The sequence below is a fragment of the Homo sapiens genome, chromosome 3, assembly GCF_000001405.40.
Source record: "Homo sapiens chromosome 3, GRCh38.p14 Primary Assembly".
NCBI lineage: Eukaryota > Metazoa > Chordata > Mammalia > Primates > Hominidae > Homo > Homo sapiens.
In genome coordinates, this window is record NC_000003.12 from 11,413,317 (window position 1) to 11,434,200 (window position 20,884).

At 38.8% G+C, this 20,884-nt stretch overlaps 1 protein-coding gene across 38 annotated transcripts in view; it reads left to right on the top strand.

Annotated features, from left to right (window-relative positions):
* The window catches only part of ATG7 (autophagy related 7), a 303,957-nt gene that overhangs the window by 140,920 nt on the left and 142,153 nt on the right, over positions 1 to 20,884 (top strand). For 37 of the 38 annotated variants that reach the window (XR_007095622.1, XR_007095623.1, NM_001349238.2 and 34 more), the window contains one exon: positions 13,488 to 13,610. The exons of the other annotated variant lie outside the window; for it this stretch is intronic. Coding sequence is in view for 35 of the 37 variants with exons in the window: in NM_001349238.2 (NP_001336167.1) it covers positions 13,488 to 13,610 (123 nt within the window). In the remaining 2 variants the exon portion in view is untranslated. The remainder of the gene's footprint in view (positions 1 to 13,487; positions 13,611 to 20,884) is intronic. 38 annotated transcript variants of the gene reach the window in all.

Below are 20,884 nucleotides of genomic sequence, written 5' to 3' on the forward strand. Positions count from 1 at the left end.
TATTATGTTGAGGCAGTTTCCTTCTATTCCTAGTTTAAGTGTTTTTATCATGAAAGGGGTTGAATTTTGTCAAATGCTTTTTCTGCATCAATCGAGATGATTGTGTGGCTTCCCCCCCGCCCCACTTTCTTCAGTTTATATGGTGTGTTACATTGGTTTTTCGTCCTTGCATTCCAGGAATAAATCTCACTTGGTCATGTTGTATAATCCTTTTAATATAAGATATAATCTAATATGTAGAAAACTGTAAAGATGTCACACAAAAAACTGACTTAATAAATGAATTCAGCAAAGTAGCAGAATGCAAAGTCAACACAGTTTACTGTTATTTCATTGAGGATTTTTGCATTAATTTATAAGTGGTATTAGTCCATGGTTTTCTCATAGTGCCTTTGTCTAGCTTTGGTGTCAGGCTACTGCTGGCCTCATAGAATGACTTAGGAAGTGTTCCATCTTTAATTCTTTAGAAAAGTTTGAAAAGCAGTGGTACTAGTTCTTTAAATGTTTGATAGAACTCACCAGTGGAACCATCAGGTGCAGGGCTTTTGTTTGCCAGGAGATTTCTGATTACTGATTCAATCTCCTTATTGGTTATAGGTCTATTCAGATTTTCCATTTCCTTGTGATTTCATTCTGATGGGTTTTGTGTTTCTAGGAATTTGTCTGTTTCATCTAGGTTATGGTATTAGGTTTGTAATTTCAAATTCCACTTGTTCATTGCTGGTATACTGGAAAATAATGGAGTTTTTTGTTTTGTTTTGTTTTGTTTTTGACATGGAGTCTTGCTCTTGTTGCCCAGGCTGGAGTGCCATCTTGGCTCACTGTAACCTCCACCTCCTCCCAGGTTCAAGTGATTTTCCTGCTTCAGCTTCCTGAGTAGCTGGGATTCCAGGTGCACACCACCACACCTAGCTAATTTTTAAATTTTTAGTAGAGATGGAGTTTCATCTTGTTGGCCAGGCTGGTCTCAAAGTCCTGACTTCAGGTCATCCACCCACCTCGGCCTCCCACAGTACTGGGATTACAGGCATGAGCCACCGTGCCCAGCCTAGTCTTATTTATTGACTATGTATCCTGCACCCTATGTATCCTGCAGTGTTGCTGTGATTGCGTGTTAGTTCCAACAGTGTTTTTATTTATTTGGATTTTCTACGTGGGCAGGCATGTCATCTATGAACAGACAGTTTTATTTCTTCCTTCCCAATCAGAATACCCTTTATTTCTTTTTCTTGTCTTATTTCATTAGCTAGGCCTTCTATTATGATGTTGAAAAGGAGTGGTAAGGGGATTTTCTTGCCTTGTTCCTGTTTTCTTGCCTTCTTGCCTTCATGGAGAAACTTCTGGTTTTTCATCCACCATTAGTTAAATTCTTAGATGTAGAGATTTTGTGGATGTTCTTTATCAAGTTGAAGTTTCCCTCTGTTCCTAGTTTACTGAGAGTTTTTGTCATAAATGACTGTTCAATTTTGTAAAATGTTCTTTCTGCACCTATTGATATGATGTGATTTTCTTCTTTTGCCTATGGATGTGATGGTTTATATTGATTTTCAAATGTTGAACCAGGCTTGTGCACCTGGGATAAATCCTACATGATCGTGGCATATAATTCTTTTTATATACAGTCATGTGTTGCTAAACGATGGGGATACCTTCTGAGAAATGTGTTTGGTGATTTCATTGTTGTATGAATATCGTAAAGTGTCCTTATACAAACCGTGACAGCATAAGCCTACTGCACACCTAGGCTATATGGCATAGCTTGTTGCTCCTAGGCTGCAAGCCTGTACAGTATGTAACTGTAATGAACACTGTAGACAACTATAACACAACGGTAAGTACTTGTGTATCTCAATGTATCTCAATATAGAAAAAGTACAGTAAAAGTATGGTATAAAAGATTTTTTTAAAATGGTACACCTGTGCAGAATACTTACCATAAATGGAGTTTGTAGGGCTGGAAGTTGCTCTGGGTGAGTCAGTAGTGAGTGACTGTGAAGGTCTAGGACATTTTGTACACCACTGTAGCCTTGAAAAACAACACTAAACTTAAAAAATATTTTTCTGTCTTCAGTAATAAATTACCTTTAGCTTACTGTAACCTTTTTCACTTTATAAATGTTTTGATTAAAAACTTTTTTTACTCTTTTGTAACAACACCTAGCTTAAAACACAAATTGTACAGCCATACAAAAACATTTTTTCTTTATACCCTTATCCTATACATTTTTTCCTTTAAAAATTTTTATTTTATTATTTAAACATTTTTGTTAAAAACTAAGACACAACATACACATTAGCCTACGCCTACTCAGGGTCAGGATCATCAGTATCACTGCCTTCCACCTCTACATCGTGACCCACTGGAAGGTCTTCAGGGGCAATAACATGCATAGAGCTGTCATCTCTTATGATAGCAATGCCTTCTTCTGGAATGCAGTTAACTTTTTTTTTTTTTTTTAAATAAGTAGAGGGATTACACTTTGCTAAAATAATGCTAACATGTATAGTATAGTAAATATATAAACATAACATAGTTGATTATCAAGTATTATGTACTATATATAATTGTACGTGGTACACTTTTATGCTACGGGCAGCACAGTAGTTTATTTACACCAGCATCACCACAAACATGGAAGTAATGTTGTTGCACTATGACATTGTGATGGCTACAGCTTCACTAGGGATTAGGAATTTTTCGGCTCCATTATAATCTGTGGGACCACCCATTGTATATGCAGTTCCTCCTTGACTGAAATGTCATGTGGTGCATTACTGTATCATTGGATTCGATTTGCTAATATTTTAAGATTCTTACATCTATGTTCATGAGATATATTGGTCTGTAGTTTTCTAGTAATGTCTTTATCTGGCTTTGGTATTAGGGTGATGCTGGCCTTATAGAATGAATTAGGAAGTATTCCCTTTGCTTCTGTCTTCTGAAAGAGATTGTAGATGATTGGTATAATCTCTTTCTTAAATGTTTGGCAGAATTCCCCCAGTGAGCCCATCTGGGCCTGGTGCTTTCTATTTGGGAAGGTTATTAATTATTGATTCAATTTATTTTATAGAAATAGGCCTGTTTAGAATTTCCATTTTTTTCTTATTTGAGTTTTGGTGGATTCTGTCTTTAAATAATTGGTTCAATTCATTTAGTTTATCAAATTTCTAGATACGGAGTTGTTGATAGTATTCTTTTATTATCCTTTTCATCAATACAGATCTCATAGACATGAAAAGGATAATAAAGGAATACTATCACTAAAAAGTGATTCTCTCTTTTTATCTTAGTCTAATTGGAGGCTTATCAATTTACCTTGTCAAAGAACTAGCTTTTGGTTTTATTGATTGTTTGTTTCTCCATTGATTTTCTGTTTTCAGTGTCATTGATTTCTCCTCTAGTTTTTATTCTCTTTTCTTCTGCTTACTGTGGATTTAATTTGCTGCTCTTGTTACCTAAGGTGTAAGATCAGATGATTGATTTTAGGTCTTTCTTCTTTTCTAATATATTATTTCAGTGATACAGATTTCTGTCTCTAAGCATTTCTTTCCCTGCATCTCATGAATTTTGATACATTGTGTTTTCATTTCTATTTAGTTTAAATATTTTAAATTTATCTTGAGATTTTTTATTCATGTGTTATTGTTCAACCTTACATATATTGAGATATTCCAATTATCTTTCTGTTGTGAATTTCTGGGTTCCATTGTGGTCTGAGAGCAGACTCTTTATGATTTCTTTTCTTTTAAATTTGTTAAAGTATGTTTTATGGCCCAGAATGTTCTACCTTGGTGAATATTCCATGTGAATGTGAGAAGAATGTGTATTCTGTGGTTGTTGGATGAAAGAGAGAGGTGAATTCTATCCAGTTGATTAATAAATAGTGTTTTGAGTTCAAGTGCGTCCTTTTTAACCTTCTGTCTGCTGGATCTTTCTACTTCTGATAGAGCAGTATTGAAGTCTACAGCTACAAAAGTAGATTCGTCTATTTCTTCTTGCCGTACTGTTAGTTTTTACCTCATGTATTTTGATGCACTGTTGTTAAGTACATACGCATTAAGAACTGTGTCTTACTGGAGAATTGAGCCCTTTATTATTATGTAATGCCCTTCTTTATCTAATAACATTATTTGCTTTGAAGTCTGTTCTATCTGAAATTAATTCAGATACTTCTACTTACTTTTCATTAGTGTTAGCATGGCGTATTTTTTTCCATCTACGTTTAATGAATAAATGTCTTTATTTAAATTGATTTTCTTTTAGATACCATATAATTGGGTTTTATTTCTTGTTCCATTATAATAATCTGCCTTTTAATTGGTACATTCAGATCACTGATTATTGATATAATTGGATTAATATCTGCCATATTTGTAACTATTTTCCATTTGTCACCTTTGTTCTTTTTTGCTATATTTGTCTTCTAGTCCTTTTTCTTGCCTTTTGTGGTTTACCAGCATTTAAAAAATTATTATTATTATTATTTTATTTTATTTTATTTTTTTTTTTTTTGAGACAGAGTCTTGCTCTATCACCCAGGCTGGAGTGCAGTGGTGCATCTTGGCTCACTGAAAGCTCTGCCTTCTGGGTTCACGCCATTCTGCCTCAGCCTCCCGAGTAGCTGGGACTACAGGCACCCACCACCATTCTTGGCTGATTTTTTGTATTTTTTTTAGTAGAGACGGGGGTTTCACTGTGTTAGCCAGGATGGTCTCGATCTCCTAACCTCGTTATCCACCCGCCTCGGCCTCCCAAAGTGCTGGGATTACAGGCATGAGCCACAGCGCCTGGCCTGTATATTTTTTAAGGTAGGGTCTCACTCTGTTGTCCAGGCTGGAGTGCAATCGTGCGATCTCAGCTCACTGCAGCCTCAACCTCCCGGGTTTAAGCCATCCTCCCACCATAGTCTCCCAAGTAGCTGGGACTACAGGCATATGTCACCATACCTGGCTATTTTTTTTTTTTTTTATATTTTGTAGAGACCTGGTCTACAAAATGTTGCCCAGGCTGGCCTTGAACTCCTGGACTCAAGTGATCCTCCTATCTCAGCTCCCCCAAAGTGCTGGGGTTACAGGTGTGAGCCACTGTCCCCAACCAACATATTTCAATATGGCTTCTTTTATCTCCCTTTGCTGGAAGCAAAAGAGATTTTTCTCGAGTATTTACTGAGAGAACCTGGTTTAGCTCCTGTAAGTAAAACTCACAAAAGCATGGGGGCCTCCCTATAACTAGGTCCCCCTGGAGTTTTTATCACTGGGGCTTGTCCACACCTAGCAATTTTTGTCAGCTACAGTTTGTTTTTCTGCCCCTCTCCCAGTTTCTGTGGAGGTTTCTGCTCCAGCCTGTTGTGATTCTCTGTATCCACCTGACTGTCTCTCCAGTTCTGGGAGCAGTGGTGTCTTAGCCTGTTTTCACACTACTATCAAGAACTACCTGAAACTGGGTAATTTATAAAGAAAAGAGGTTTAATTGACTCACAGTTCCACATTGCTGGGGAGGCCTCAGGAAACTTACAATTATGGTGGAAGGGGAAGCAAGGCACTTCTTACATGGCGGCAGGAGAAAGAGAGCAAAGGGGGAAGTGCCACTTTTAAATCATCAGATCTCATGAGAACTCGCTATCGCAAGAACAGCATGGGAAACTGCCCCTCCCCCCCGATCCAGTCACCGCCCACCAGGTCCCTCCCCTGACATGGGATTACAATTTTAGATGAGATTTAGTGGGGACACAGAGCCAAAGCATATCAAGTGGTTTCTCCTGTGACCTCACTGAAGTTTTTGAGAAATACATGCACGTGTATTTTTTAAGTCATCAAGAGCAAGTAAGTATAATGCTAAACAAGAAGTTAATAAAAACTTCATGTTTCCTCCCCTCTTTGAAAATACATTAGCAATTGTTTTTAGATAGAGTGTACATTTCCTGGAGTCATTGTTTAAGAATAATAGACAAACAAGCTGGGCATGGTGGCTAACACCTGTAATCCCAGCACTTTGGGAGGCCGAGGTGGGTGGATCGCTTGAGGCCAGGAGTTCTGAGACGAGCCTGGGCAACATGGCAAAACCCCATCTCTACTAACAATACAAAAATTAGCCAGGAATGGTGGTGTGCGCCTGTAATCCCAGCTACTGGGGTGGCTAAGGCAGGAGAATTGCTTGAACCCAGGAGGCAGAGGCTGCAGTGAGCCAAGATCACGTCACTGTACTCCAGCCTGGGCAACAGAGTGAGACTCTTGTCTCAAAACAAACAAAAAAAAACACACTACAAACCCATTTTGCTTCTCATGAATTGAAAATCATTATATGGTGTTGTCAGGAGATCTTAGACTCTGTGAAAGGCATTTTCCAGAGAGTTGCCGAAAATTAGAAGGGTGTGGGGGCGCTGAAATGCCTAGGCAGAGAAGATAGGTTTGATATAGTAAAGAGTAAGGAGTCACCAAAGTGTCTTAGCAAGGCAATACTCTAAAAATCATGTTTTAAGAAGAGATTCTACCATCTTTGTCCAAGGTGTGTGTGTTCATAGAGAAAACCTAGCCTCCCAAAACAAGCAAGGAAAATCATGGATTATGAAAGGATCTTTCTACTAAAAGAGTCATTATTACTTCTCTATTTTGCAAACTCTCTCAGTACCTTCAGAATATTTACAGCCTTCCAAAATGTAATGTATACCCTTCTCAGGACTATGCATAATGCAGTTCACTTAAGAATTGTGCTATGTTTTACATAGACTGACAGGTTCTTGTTCAAATTCTTTGTGATAACATCTTTTCATTTTCTTTTCTTTTTTGGGTAGTTTTAAATACATTTTCCTTTTTAAGAAGGCTAGGATGTTTGGGGGGAAAAATCCTTGTACTTTTTGTAAGCCACTTATAACACAGATTAACTTCACAGCACATAAAAAGAATACTGGAGAACCCTTACATGATTAAATATGCCCCTAGAGGATTAAGTTTTTCCACATATTTTTAAGCCAGTGCTATTAATAATGTTCCAGCATTAAACTTTCTGTACATCCTCATTATGGAGGAGGCCTTTTTTTGTTTTTTTCATTCTGCCCTTGCTGTTAGTTTTTCCGTGGTCAGATATGTAGCACTATAAAATTATCTGTGGAAACATACAATCTGAATGTTTAACTGGAGTCTAACAAAGTATCATGTCTGGGGCTCTTCCAATTTTTATTCAAAGATGTTGTCAATTTTTCAAACTTAATTGTTCTTTTGTCTTACTGGAAACCTGGCAGAAGATGGCTATTTACAGGCATATCTTAGATTATGGGGCAGACCACCACAATGCAGCTAATATTGCAGTAAATCAAGTCTCACAATTCCTTTGGTTTCTCAGTGCATATAAAAGTTACATTTTTACTATACTGTAGTCTATTAAGTGTGCAATAGCATTATGTCTAAAAATACATGCATACCTTAAGTAATACAAAATACTTTTTTTTTTTTTTTTTTTTTGAGACAGAGTCTCACTTGTTGCCCAGGCTGGAGTGCAATGGCGCGATCTCGGCTCACTGCAAGCTCTGCTTCCTGGGTTCATGCCATTCTCCTGCCTCAGCCTCCTGAGTAGCTGGGACTACAGGTGTATGCCACCTTGTCCGGCTAATTTTTTGTATTTTTAGTAGAGATGGGGTTTCACCGTGTTAGCCAGGATGGTCTCAATCTCCTGACCTCGTGATCCGCCTGCCTCAGCCTCCCAAAGTGCTGGGATTACAGGCGTGAGCCACCACGCCTGGCCACAAAATACTTTTTTTTTGCTAAAAAATGCTAACAATATTGAGCTTTCAGCAAGTTGTAATCTTTTTGCTGGTGGAGGTTCTTGCATTGATATTGATGGTGGCCACCTGATCAGGGTGGTAGTTGCCAAAGGTTGGGGTGGCTGTGGCATTTTCTTAGAAAAAGACAAGTTTGTTGCAGCAGTTGGCTTTTCCTTTCAGAAGATATTCCTCTGTAGCATGCAGTGCTGTTTGATAGCATTTTACCCACAGCAGAACGTCTTTAAAAATTGGAGTTGTCCTCTCAAATGCTGCTGCCACTTTATCAACATGATGTTCTAAATCTTTAGTTGTCATTTCAACAATGTTCACAGCATCTTCATCAGGAATAGATTCCATCTAGAAACCACTCTCTTTGCTTACCTGTAAGAAGCAACTCCTCATCTGTTCAAGTTTGATCCTGAGATTGCAGCAATTCAGTCACATCTTCAGGCTCCACTTTTAGTTCCCTTGATTTTTTCACCACACCTACAGTGACTTCCTCTTGAACCCCTCAAAGTCATCCATGAGGGTTGGAATCAACTTCTTTCAAACTCCTTTTGATGTTGATATTTTGACCTCCTTCCATGAATCACGAATACTCGTATCTAGAATGGTGAATCCTTTCCAGAAGGTTTTTAATTTGCTTTGATCAGATCCATCAGAGAAATCACCCTGTATGGCAGCTATTGCCTTATTAAATGTATTTTTTAAATAATAAGACTTGGAAGTCAAAATTACTCCTTGGCACAAGGGCTGCAGAAATGGATATTGTCTTAGCATGCATGAAAACAACATTTATCTCTTTGTACATCTCCATCAGACCTCCTGGGTGACCAGGTGCATTGTCAGTGAGCAGTAATATTTTGAAAGGAACCTTTTTTTCTGAGCAGTAGGTCTCAACAGTGGGCTTAAGATATTCAGTAAACTGTGCCGTAAACAGATGTGCTGTTACCCAGATTTTGTTGTTTCGGTTATAGAGCACAGGCAGAGAAGATTTAGCATAATTTTTAAGGGCCCTAGGATTTTTAGAATGGTCAGTAAGCATTGGCTTCAACTTAAAAGTCACCAGCTGTTTTGGTCTTGACCAAGGGAGTCAGCCTATTTTTTGAAGCTTTAAAGCCAGGCATTGACTTCTCCTCTGTAGCTACGAAAGTCCTAGGTGGCATCTTCTTCCACTAGAAGACGGTTTCATCTATGTTAAAAATCTGTTGTTTAGCCACATTTCTCAATTTTCTGAGCTAGATCTCATAATAACATGTTGCAGCTTCTACATCAGTACTTGCTGCTTCGCCTCTCACTTTTATGTTATGGAGACAGCTTCTTTCCTTAAACCTCATTAGCCAACCTCTGCTAGCTTCCAGCTGTGCCTCTGTAGCCTCCTTACCTCTCTCAGCCTTCATAGAAGTAAAGGGACTTTTAGCTTTGCTCTGGATTGGGCTTTGCCTTAAGGGGATATTGTGGCTGGTTTGATCTTCCAGATCACTAAAACTTTCTCTGTAGCTCTTTTACTTTATTTTTGTGTGTTCATTGGAGTAGCACTTATAATTTCCTTCTAGAACTTTCCCTTGGCATTAACAACTTGGCTGTTTGGTGCAAGAGGTTTAGCTTTTTTTTAGCATGTCTCAGCTTTTGACATGCCTTCCTCACTATGCTTAATCATTTCTAGCTTTTTTTTTTTTTTTTTTTTTTTTTTTTTGGAGACAGAGTCTCACTCCGTTGCCCAGGCTGGAGTGCAGTGTGGCGCAATCTCAGCTCACTGCAACGTCCGCCTCCTGGGTTTAAGTGATTCTCTTGCCTCAGCTTCCCAGGTAGCTGGGATTACAGGCGTGCGCCACTATGCCCAGCTAATGTTTGTATTTTTAATAGAGACGGGGTTTCACCATGTTGGCCAGGCTGGTCTTGAACTTCTGACCTCAAGTGATCCACCCACCTTGGCCTCTCAAAGTGCTGGGATTACAAATAGGCATGAGCCACCGGGCTTGGCCTATTTCTAGCTCTCGATTTAAAGTGAGAAATGTGTGACTCTTCCTTTCACTTGGACACTTTGAGGCCGTTGTAATTGGCCTACATTCAGTATTGTTTTGTTGCAGGAAATAGGCCCAAAGAGAGGGAGAGAGATGGAGGAATGGCCAGTTGGTGAATCGGTCAGAACACATACTACATTTATCTATTAAGGTCGCCATCTTATATAGGTACAGTTTGTGGTGCCCCAAAACAATTACAATAGTAACATCAAAGACCACTGATCACAGATCACCACAACAGATATAATAATAATGAAAAAGTTTGAAATATTGTGAGAATTACCAAAATGTGACAGAGACACGAAGTGAGCACATGGTGTTGGAAAAATGGTATTGATTCCTTTGCTCAATGCGGGGTTGCCACAACTTTCAATTTTTTTTTCTTTTGTAATCACTAAACACATAGTACTCAACATTTCAAAAAAGATCACTTAATTTCAGTGGACATTTTTTCCTGACGTAACATTCTGGTTTATAAGGAATCTTGTTATTACTGAGGAATTGAGTTATTTATTAAATGCCTTTTTTTTTTCCAGGGGGTTAGGCTGTCAAATTAATTTCCCATGGCTAATCAGCCTGGGCTTGACTCTACGCACGTAATGGTCCTACACTCCCCCAGCTCTCTAGGACTTGCAGTCTCTCTGATCCTAACAGCCTGCAGGTCTTTTCTTACCAGCCAGGACTCTTTCCCAGTCCCTTCAGTGGTGCTCACCAGCCCCTCAGTTTCTCTGACCTTAACCTTTTGATCCTTATTCTGCCAGTCCCTTGGCTTAGATGGGTTCTTAATTTCTTTTCTCCCCAAATTTGTATTTTTCTGTCCTGACCAGAGGCGTCAGATTGTTCCACACTGTTTAAATGTGCCAGTCAACCTCTCTTCTCCGACTCTCTGCACAGCTGGGCCTCAGGGTCACCACTCTTCTCAAGCCCCATAGTCTAACCCTTCTCGGGTCACAGAGGACTTCCTGCCAGCTATCTAGACCCTAGAGCTCCCCTGCCTCCCGTCGCCTGGTCCTTTCGCTTTTCACTGCTGCAGCTTTGCTCAACCTTCCCTCCTCATTCCTGCCCCTGGGGGAGAGCTGCCCCTCCTTTCCAGTGCCAACCTCTTCATCAGTGCTTTAGAGTTCTGCCTCAGCACTAAACAAAAACAAAAACCAACTAAAGATTTTAGTATTTTTATATTAATATTTAAAATTGTCTAATTTTAATAAATGTTAAATAACATTTGGTTTTAAGAAATATTAAATATTCAATGTTAAATAATATTGTTTATTAACATTAAATAAAGGTGGGAGGATCACCTGAACCCAGGAGGTTGAGGCTGCAGTAAGCTGTAATTGTGCCATTGCACTCCAGCCTAGGTGACAGAGCGAGACTGTCACCAACAACAACAAAAAAAACACTGATTGCAGCAACAAAAGTTAGAAAGCACTACCCTTTAACAGAGAGCTGATTAAATTATGGTGTATTTATTATCGGTGGCAATTAAATAATTTTAATTTTAATAAATATTAATTTTTAATATTAAATATTTAAAAATCTTATTTTAATAAATATTGAATAATTATTAAGTAACACATGCACATGGATTTAAAAGTTAAAGTAGTATAAAATAATCTACAGAGGCTACTATTTGATGTCAGTTTGTGTGTATTTGCATTCTGCCAGAGATATTCTTCCATAGATGATACATGCATAAACAAGTATGTACATCCATGCATTTCTTCTTCTTCCTGTCTCCTCCTTCCACTCTTTTTGAACACAAATACTATCTATACACAGTCTAGATATTGCTTTTTAAATATATTGCTATGTTTTGGAAAACAATTTGTGTCAGTACTATAGACCTGCCTCATTCTTTTAATGGATGCAAAATATCCCTTTTTTTTGTTTTTGAAGACTCTGTCACCCAGGTTGGAGTGCAGTGGTGTGATCATAACTAGTTGCAGCCTCAACCTCCTGAGTTCAGGTGATCCTCCCACTTTAGCTTCCCAAGTAGCTGGAATTACAGGTGCACTCCACCATGCCTGGCTAATTTTTAAGTTTTTTTGTGGAGACAAGGTCTCACTATGTTGCCCAGGTTGGTCCTGAACTCCTAAGCTCAAGCAGTCCTCCTGCCTTGGCCACCCAAAATGCTAGGATTACAGGCATGAGCCATCGTGCCTGGCCCAAACAGTGTTTCAGTAAGCATCCTTACAACATAAGTCTTTGTGCCCATGTACAGCTTTATCATTATGAAGTCTTAAAAGTGGAATTGCTAGATTAAAGGGTGCCTGCATTTTCATCTTCTGAAAAGAAAAAAAATCTATTTCTTGTATAATTACTGTTCTGGTCTGTTTATGCATTGTTGATTTCTTAGATATGTCTTCAATGTCTGCTATCTTTTTAAAGCATTCATCTCTTTATTTCTTGTGAGTTCCCAGAGAATTTCTGAGGCATTCTGGTTCAGCGTTCTACGTTTCACAGTCCCTGTGATCACTGAATTCCTAAATGTGATACTCATTGTTTCTAAGAACTCTTTACTGTTCTCCTAGTCTCCTCTCAAGTGTATAGGCCTTTTATTTCTTAACTTTCTATGTAAGGATAACATATATCCAAAAAAAACACATAAGTCTTCTGTTCAACTTAATGAATTCTCAAGAAGTACACCTTATGTAACCAATGCTTAGATAAATAAATTATTGCCAGCACCTTGGAATGTCCCTTGTGCCCCTTACAGTCTCTCTGTGGGTAGCCACTATCTTTTCTCCTAACACCACAGATTCATGTTGCCTATTTCATTTTAATTTTATATAAATGTAATTGTACAGTACATACTGCTTCTTTCTTTTGTGTAACATTATGTTTGAAGGTAGTTTGTTCTCACTGATATATAGTATTCCATTGCATGACTATACCACAATCCATTTGTTCATTCTACTGTTGATGGTCACCTCAATGGTTTCTAGTTTTGGGCTATCATGAATAGCGCTGCTGTGGACACTTTTGTTTGTGTCTTCTGGTGCACATATGTACACATTTTTGTTGGGTGTATATACACATAGAGTAGAATTGCTGCATCATAGGGCATAGAGTCCTGGTTGTTCCACATCCTTGCCAGCACTTGGTATTTTCTTTGTCATTTTAGTCTTTTTGATAGGTGCAAAGTAGTGTTTCATTGTGGTTTCAGTTTTCATATCAACTACTCATGCCATGGAGCCCATTTTCATGTTTATTGGCTCTTTGGATATCCTCTTTTGTGAAGTACCTATTGAAATTTATTTTTCCATTTTAAAATTATTTTTAAAAATATATTTGGCTAGCTCGTATGTCACACTTTTTTGACAAAATCCTTTTTCTCCTCCCTTCTCATTTATCCTTTTAAATTTATTTTCTTGGCTTTTCTCTCACCTGTTCTTTTCTAACCACTGAACTTTAGAGCCACTAACTACTCCTAACTTTTCTAGAATTTTTAGTGAATTTGCATGAAACTTACTTTGAGAAAACATTGGTACTCAAACTGGAAGATAATGTTATTGTTATTCTAAGAAGGGAAAAGATGATAAATACTAAGCCGTACTAGTTTTTTGGCCACTAGATTGCATTATTATCCCCATGTTTAATTCTCATTTTAATTTTATTTTTGACAAGAGCTTGTTAGAAGTGAAAGTCTTTTAATTTGCATTTTAAGTCTGGAGACTCCTTTTTAAAAAATGTAAATGTTTTACAGGTTCTTGATCAATATGAACGAGAAGGATTTAACTTCCTAGCCAAGGTGTTTAATTCTTCACATTCCTTCTTAGAAGACTTGACTGGTCTTACATTGCTGCATCAAGAAACCCAAGCTGCTGAGGTAAGAACAAAACAAGCTTTCTGTAGTGAAGACTGACATGCTTAAAACTATTTGATATTCGCCATATGGAAAAGGAAGAAAGCAATTAATTTTAATTTTTGTAACTTAGAGCAAATATCACTAAATAAGTCTGCTAGTTACCAGAGAACGAATAACCCTCAGCAAGTGCTGGATACTGATGTGTGTAGGTTGCTGTCCAGTAGGTGCCTAATACACAAAATCAGTGTGATAAAGGAAGTATAGGTTGTAGATTTCCAGGCACCTCTTGTCCTTACTGAAGATCTGCATGTGTATGACCATTGGAGAGAGTTGGCTTTAATGTCCATATATCAAAATGTAAGTTGGTAAAGACATTGGACTCCAGCTATGTTCTTTAGAAAGAAGGTATTGGACTCTGGCCATGTTCTTCAGAAAGAACATGCCTGGCTTTTTCACGATTTGATCAGTCTTCTTAGACCCTGAACCCCACCATGAAATGGCTTCCCCAGACACAACCCGAGAGAGTTATGCTTTGTTTCTCAGCTAAAATATTTTGCAGATCTTAATTTCCTGGGTCATTGCATCATTTTTTTTTTTTTTTTAAAGACTGAGTTTAAGAAATAAATTATCGGCCGGGCGAGGTGGCTCATGCCTATAATCCAAGCACTTTGAGAGGCCAAGGTGGGTGGGTCACAAGGTCAGGAGTTTGAGACCAGCCTGGCCAACATAGTGAAACCGTGTCTTCACTAAAATAAAAAAATTAGGTGGGCATGGTGGCAGGCACGTGTAATCCCAGCCACTCGGGAGGCTGAGGCAGGAGAATTGCTTGAATCCTGGAGGCAGAGGTTGCAATGAGCCGAGATTGTGCCACTGCACTCCAGTCCGGGCGACGGTGCGAGACTCCGTCTCAAAAAAAAAAAAAAAAATTATTGTGTTTTTCCAAATGCTCGCTGTTCTTAGAAAAGGGAATGCTGTGTATGGTGGTAGAGCTATTTGGATCACTTGGCAAAATGTGCAATTCCTCAGAATTGATGAGTGAGATTAAATCAATCTTTTCCCCTTAGTTACCTGGATAAAGAAGCCATGAGGAGAAATGTAGCTTATGTTGTGTTTCCACAAACTATATAAGGAAAACCTTGACTTCCTGTGTCCTGCAGGGGTAGTGCACTTGCCATTAGTCCTTTTAAGTTGCAATTCTTCCCACCAGCTAAAGAGAAATATATAAATTATTTCTAGCTAGGTGGCAAAACTCCCCCAGCCATCTTGTCAAATGATTGCATGGGTGCAAAGATCTATAAATTCCTCCATAGGTTGCATATCCTCACCATTCAGGGAGGCCCCAAGTTGTCAATGAATAGATGGCCAGGCCCAATACTGGACCAGCCAGTGGTGAAAGGGCTGCTGTTTGGAGAGGTGGAGCTAGTGCTGAGTATAGGAAGACCATGTAGAAATACCAAAGTCAGACCCATTGGAGGTTTGAGCAGATTGTGAGATTTTTCAGGTACACCAGGGAGGCAAGATAGTACATCTCTAGTGCTGGACTTAAACTGAAGGCAGTCCTTCTTTAAATTGTTTTGGTGCCCTCTGGGCATTAAACAGATGCAGTCTTCCACTTATGGCCAATAGTTAGAGCCACAAAGAGTCTATTTCAAGTTTCAGGAGATGAATGGCATCTCTGCTGCTCTTTGAGAGACTTTAAGGTATTTTTCCCCTGAATTGTGATTGGGTTCCCAGGCAGGGTTCAGAACATTGTGTTTATTGTCTGCCGTATTATCTTTTAAGCAATGCTGTACTGCCTGATGGTATGGAAGAGGTAACATAGATGTTTGTAAACATACAGTCATTTGATGGCTAAGGAAGTTTTGCCACCCAGCTAGAAGTAACTTATGTATTGTTAGCTAGAAGAATTTCAACCTGAAATTGACCCAATTTTTCACTCTTTAAAACAGAGCAGTTGCTAGAATAGTGGGTAGGTTTCTAGATTTAACCTGGTTTATCTTACATTTTAGTTGGTCAAACCTTAATGGCTTTTTCAAAGACTTAGAGAAAGTTTAAAAGCAATAGTGACTAAATAGATGGTGGAGCAGAAGGGAGCATGGTTTCATCCACGAGCCTGAGTTTTCTTTTTGAATTTTCCTCTACTAAATTATATCTTTAGTTTTGGAATCATACGTCACATCAAATTTTAGATTAGAGATGGTAAACTGTTTGGCCTGTGAGCCAGATACGGCTTGCAGGTATGTATTTTTTGGCCTGCCCAGTTTGTTAAATTCTGAATAAAGCCATCATTTAAAAACCACAAGTTTTAGGCGGGGCGTGGTGGCTCACAGCTGTAATCCTAGCACTTTGGGAGGCCGAGGGGGGCAGATCACCTGAGGTCAGGAGTTTGAGACCAGCCTGGCCAACATGGTGAAACCCCGTCTCTACTAAAAATGCAAAAATTAGTCGGGCATGGTGGCACATGCCTGTAATCCCAGTTACTCGGGAGGCTGAGGCAGGAGAGTGACTTGAACCCGGGAAGCAAAGGTTGCAGTGAACCAAGATGGCGCCACTGCACTCCAGCCTGGGCGACAGAGCGAGACTCCATCTCAAAAAAAAAATCACAAGAGGGTCTGAATTTTCCCATTTCCAACTTTGAAAAATCAGATCTGGGAACTCCAGACATGCATCTCTTAATAGTGATGGTTAGCTAGAGCCAAGAAGCAAAGTTTATAGATAATGCACTTGATATAAAATTTAAAGGTATTACGAAATACTCTGGGCTGGGCATGGTGGCTCATGCCTCTAATCCTAGCACTTTGGGAGGCCAAGGCTGGTGGAGTGCCTGAGCTCAGGAGTTTGAGACCAGCCTGGGCAACACGGCGAAACCTCATCTCTACTAAAAATACAAAATCTAGCCCGGTGTGGCAATGTGCGCCTGTAGTCCCAGCTACTCTGGGATGAGGCAGGAAAATTGCTTGAACCAGGGAGGCAGAGGTTGCAGTGAGCTGAAATCGCGCGACTGAATTCCAGCCTGGGCGACAGAGCGAGACTCTGTCTCAGGAAAAAAAAAAAAAAAAAAAATTCTGTGAAAAGGATATCTTCCTTCTATACAGGTCCCTTAGCTCCTCAGTTCCTTTCCTGGAGACAAACACTGTTGTTACTTTCCTGCCCAGAGATATTCTTTAGGTTATATTCTTTATTTAGATGATGCCCTTTAGTAGGTGACCCTTAATAGGTATTTGAGCTTATAACCCGTCTTCAAAAAGGATCATTATTTTTCTTAACTCTGAATAGGACTGTGTTTTAAGATAAGGTTTGAAATATAGTACTTAGTAGAGGACCTCCTAGCAACAAAAATTACTGTTCTAACTACATCATTTTCTATTACTTTGAAAAATGTGTGTATGCGCATATAAGCAAAATATATAAATATATGTTAAAATATATATATACCTTTACGTATATCTGTGTAAAAGTAGTGTTTTGATTTACATACTTGATTCTCAATGCGTTTACAGGTGGTCAGTAATAAAAACACAGAATTCTGCATTCTACGTAGAAAGGTCTCCACTTATTTATTTTAGCAACACAATCAAGATGCTAAATTAATTCTCATTTTGGGTTAACTATTTACATCAATCAACATTGGAATTGCAAACGATTCAACTAGATAATTATATGTGACATTACCATTATATACTTTGTTTATAAAATACGTGTTTAAAAAATATACTGAACATCTTTTGAAAATCTGATACCAAGCACTGTGCTAGTAACTGAATACAGAAGTTAATGAGACACTGACCCTCAAGGGCTCATAGTCTAGTGTGAGAAGCTGACATGGAAATAGTGAGCTCTAATGCAATAAAAAATGTTTTAGTCATTTGTATATTAAGTGCTGAGAGAGCAGTTACTTCTGCCTAGGGGAATAGGATGTCAAGAAAAGCTTCACAGGAAGAGAACAAATATTTCACTTAGTTTTAAAGGATGAGTAGACTATTTTTAAAAATAAAAGTTGGATTTTGGCAGAGAAAGAGTAGAGAAGGGAAGGGCAAGAAGCCTAGGGCGTTCTAGACTGAATAAAGGTCTCCGAGGCCAAGTCTTTAGTATATTACTCAAAATCATGAGTAGTGTGATGTACTTGGAGCCACAGTTACCTGAAGTCAACATAATGTTTTTTAATAATAGCTTTATTGAGTTATAATTCACATACCATAAAACACACCATTTTGGCTGGGCGCAGTGGCTCACGCCTGTAATCCCAGCACTTTTGGGAGGCCGAGGTGGGTGGATCACTTGAGGTCAGGAGTTTGAGACCAGCCTAGCCAACATGGCGAAACCTTGTCTCTACTAAAAATACAAAATTAGCTGGGTGTGGTGGCATGTGCCTGTAATCCCAGCTACTCGGGAGGCTGAGGCAGGAGAATCACTTGAACCCGGGAGGTGGAGGCTGCAGTGAGCTGAGATTGTGCTGTTGCACTCCAGCCTGCAAGGGCGGGGGGAAAAAAACAACCACACACAACACACACACACCTTTTTAAAGTGTGCAGTTCAGTGGTTTTTAGTATATTCACAGAGTTGTGCAACCATTACCACTCTCTGTTTAGAAAATTTTCATCCCCCACACCCAAAACAAACTCTGAACCTATTAAAAGGTCACTCCCTGTTCCCTCCTCCTTCCAGCCCCTGGCAACCACTAATCTTCTTTCTGTCTGTAAGGATTTTTCTATTCTGGACACATCACATAAATGATCCTTTGTGTCTGGCATCTTCTATTTAGCACAATGTTTTTAAGGTTTATTCATGTTGTAGCAAGGTACGCAATTGTTTTTCATTTAAAGAAAAAGTCTCAATGCTATTACAATTTTCCATATTCTTTGCACCTGTGGTCTGTCTCCCTAAATATAGCCCCTTTATGAAGGAGGAATGCAAAGCTGATCCAACTAGAGACTACAAATTCCTTTATATTTATATAGAAAGGGGCACATAGTAATGAATTGGAAGCCATATCCAAGCTAGAATCATCTAGATTTAGTGAGATTGACTAGTGCAACCCAATTTTTTGCACTCATCCCCTGTCCATCAGGTACCTGGAAATGATTGCAATGATTTTGAACTAGGTTACTGGTATAATCATACTGCTGTTGAGATTAGCAGGCAAATTACCAAGTTAGTTTTTTATTGGAGGGGGAGAGGTCAATGTGTGAGGGTGCATAGTGGAGACTGGGGACCAGGCTGACAAAGATGAATTGTTTTAGGTAGTGATGACTTTGAGGTAATGGGATAAGTGAGTGAAAATGACTGGTTGGCGTTGGAGATGGGATGGAGATGGAGCTTGGAGAAAAAGAATAGCACTAGTAAATGGATTTAGCTAGACAAAGGAGATTTACCCTATTCCATTTAGCACAGTGAGGAGAGGCTAGACAGCTAGGATGCAATAAAAAAAATTTTAATGAGAAATGTGTGTGGTAGATTAATTTTATTAATCTCAAGTTATAGATTAAAAAATTTAAGTACCACATAAATGCCATTTGCCTTTGCTAATGTTACATTTTTATGAAGAAGGAGCCTTGCATAAGAATGATATAATGGACTTTTGGGACTTGAGGGAGAAGCTTGGGAGGGGGGGTAAAGGATAAAAGACATATTGGGTGCTGTGTGTACACTGCTTGGGTGACAAGTGGACTAAAATCTCAGAAATCACCACTAAAGAACTTATCTACATAACCAAAAATCACCTGTACCCCAGAAACTATTGAAATAAAAAAAAAGAAGGGGACTTGGACAGATAGCCGTATTCTTTGCCAAATTATAGTTACATTCTGCTCATGGGGGATTAGGAGGTTCAATGGAAGAAAGGCCCCACTCAGCTTTCTTCCCTCTTAAAATGTTGCCTTGTAAATTAGGGAATTTTGCATAAAGCTCTGACCTTTACTTCCAAGGCCTTTACTGAGAATGGGTTTGGATACTTGGAGATAGATCCTGACTCCCTATCCCTCCTAGATCTTTATTTATCCTATTTGGAACCCAGGGAAATGGCCTTAAAGCTGATGAACCACAGGGTGTCCAAGTCATGGAGCTATTGAGGTTCTCCCCAAGTATCTTTTAAATTGCTGCATTTGGGATGGGTACAGTGGCTTACACCTGAAATCCCAGCACTTTGGGAGGCTAAGTTGGGAGGATTGCTTGGGTCTGGGAGTTTAAGGCCAGCCTGGGCTAGATGGTGAGCCTCTGTCTCTATTTAAGAAAATTAGAAATTAGCCAGGCATGGTGACACACCAGCTACTTATAATGCTGAGGCAGGAGGATCACTTGAGCCCAGGAGTTTGCGGCAGACAGTGAGCTATGATTGTGCCACTGTACTCCAGCCTGGGTGACAGAGCAAGACCCTGTCTCTTATTTAAAAAAAAAAAAAAAAAAAAAAAAAAGCTGCGTTTGTTGAAGAAATGCTCAGTCTAAATCAAACATATGAACACCTTAGCCATGTTCCACAAAAATTTGCTGTGACTTACCTTCTTAGAGTTATTTCTCATCCTATGAGTAGAATAAGTATCAGTTCACATGTATTTATTTGTTCCAACTGTGGGTTCAACATCATACTATGAGAAATGCCAAAATATTTTCTAACTGAATGTAACTAGAGATAAGACTAATTTATAAGAGAGTTAATAGAACAAGCTATATTGGTATATCCCTGAGAAATTCAAATTCCTAAGTCCCTTTACCCAATTTCCCTGAAATACTTCATTCCTATTCATGAAAGTTTGCACGTTCCATGATTCCAGGATTAATTTTAGGCTGTTTTACTTCCTTGCCTTGACCATATTGTCAGTATTTGATGTTGTACCATGCAGTTATGATTTCAGGGTTGCAATTACAGTGCACCATTAATATAATTTGCATTTTGTCAAGGTTGTGCTAAATAGAACTTCCTTTCTGCAGATTTGGGGATTAATGAATGATCATCTAAAAAGAAAGCAACAACCATAACATAGGCTATAAAATCATAAACAGACCAGCAGAAATGAACAGGGCTGAGCTGATTAATTGGTTATGAATTAAAATGTAGATTGTGATTCATTCACTATAGAACTCAGAATTCTAGAAAATGCCCATTTCTCTCATAGCCAAAAAGTCATATGAAAAACATTACGGTCATGTGATATGACTTCATTGGCACAGCAATTTACTATTCAGCAAAGTAAATAACACAATTAACAAGTGTTTCTGCTGGGCCTTTTGCACTTACACTGAGATTTTGGCCTCTCCCCCACACAGCTGGTTTTGATTTGGTTCCTGTGGAATATTTTTGT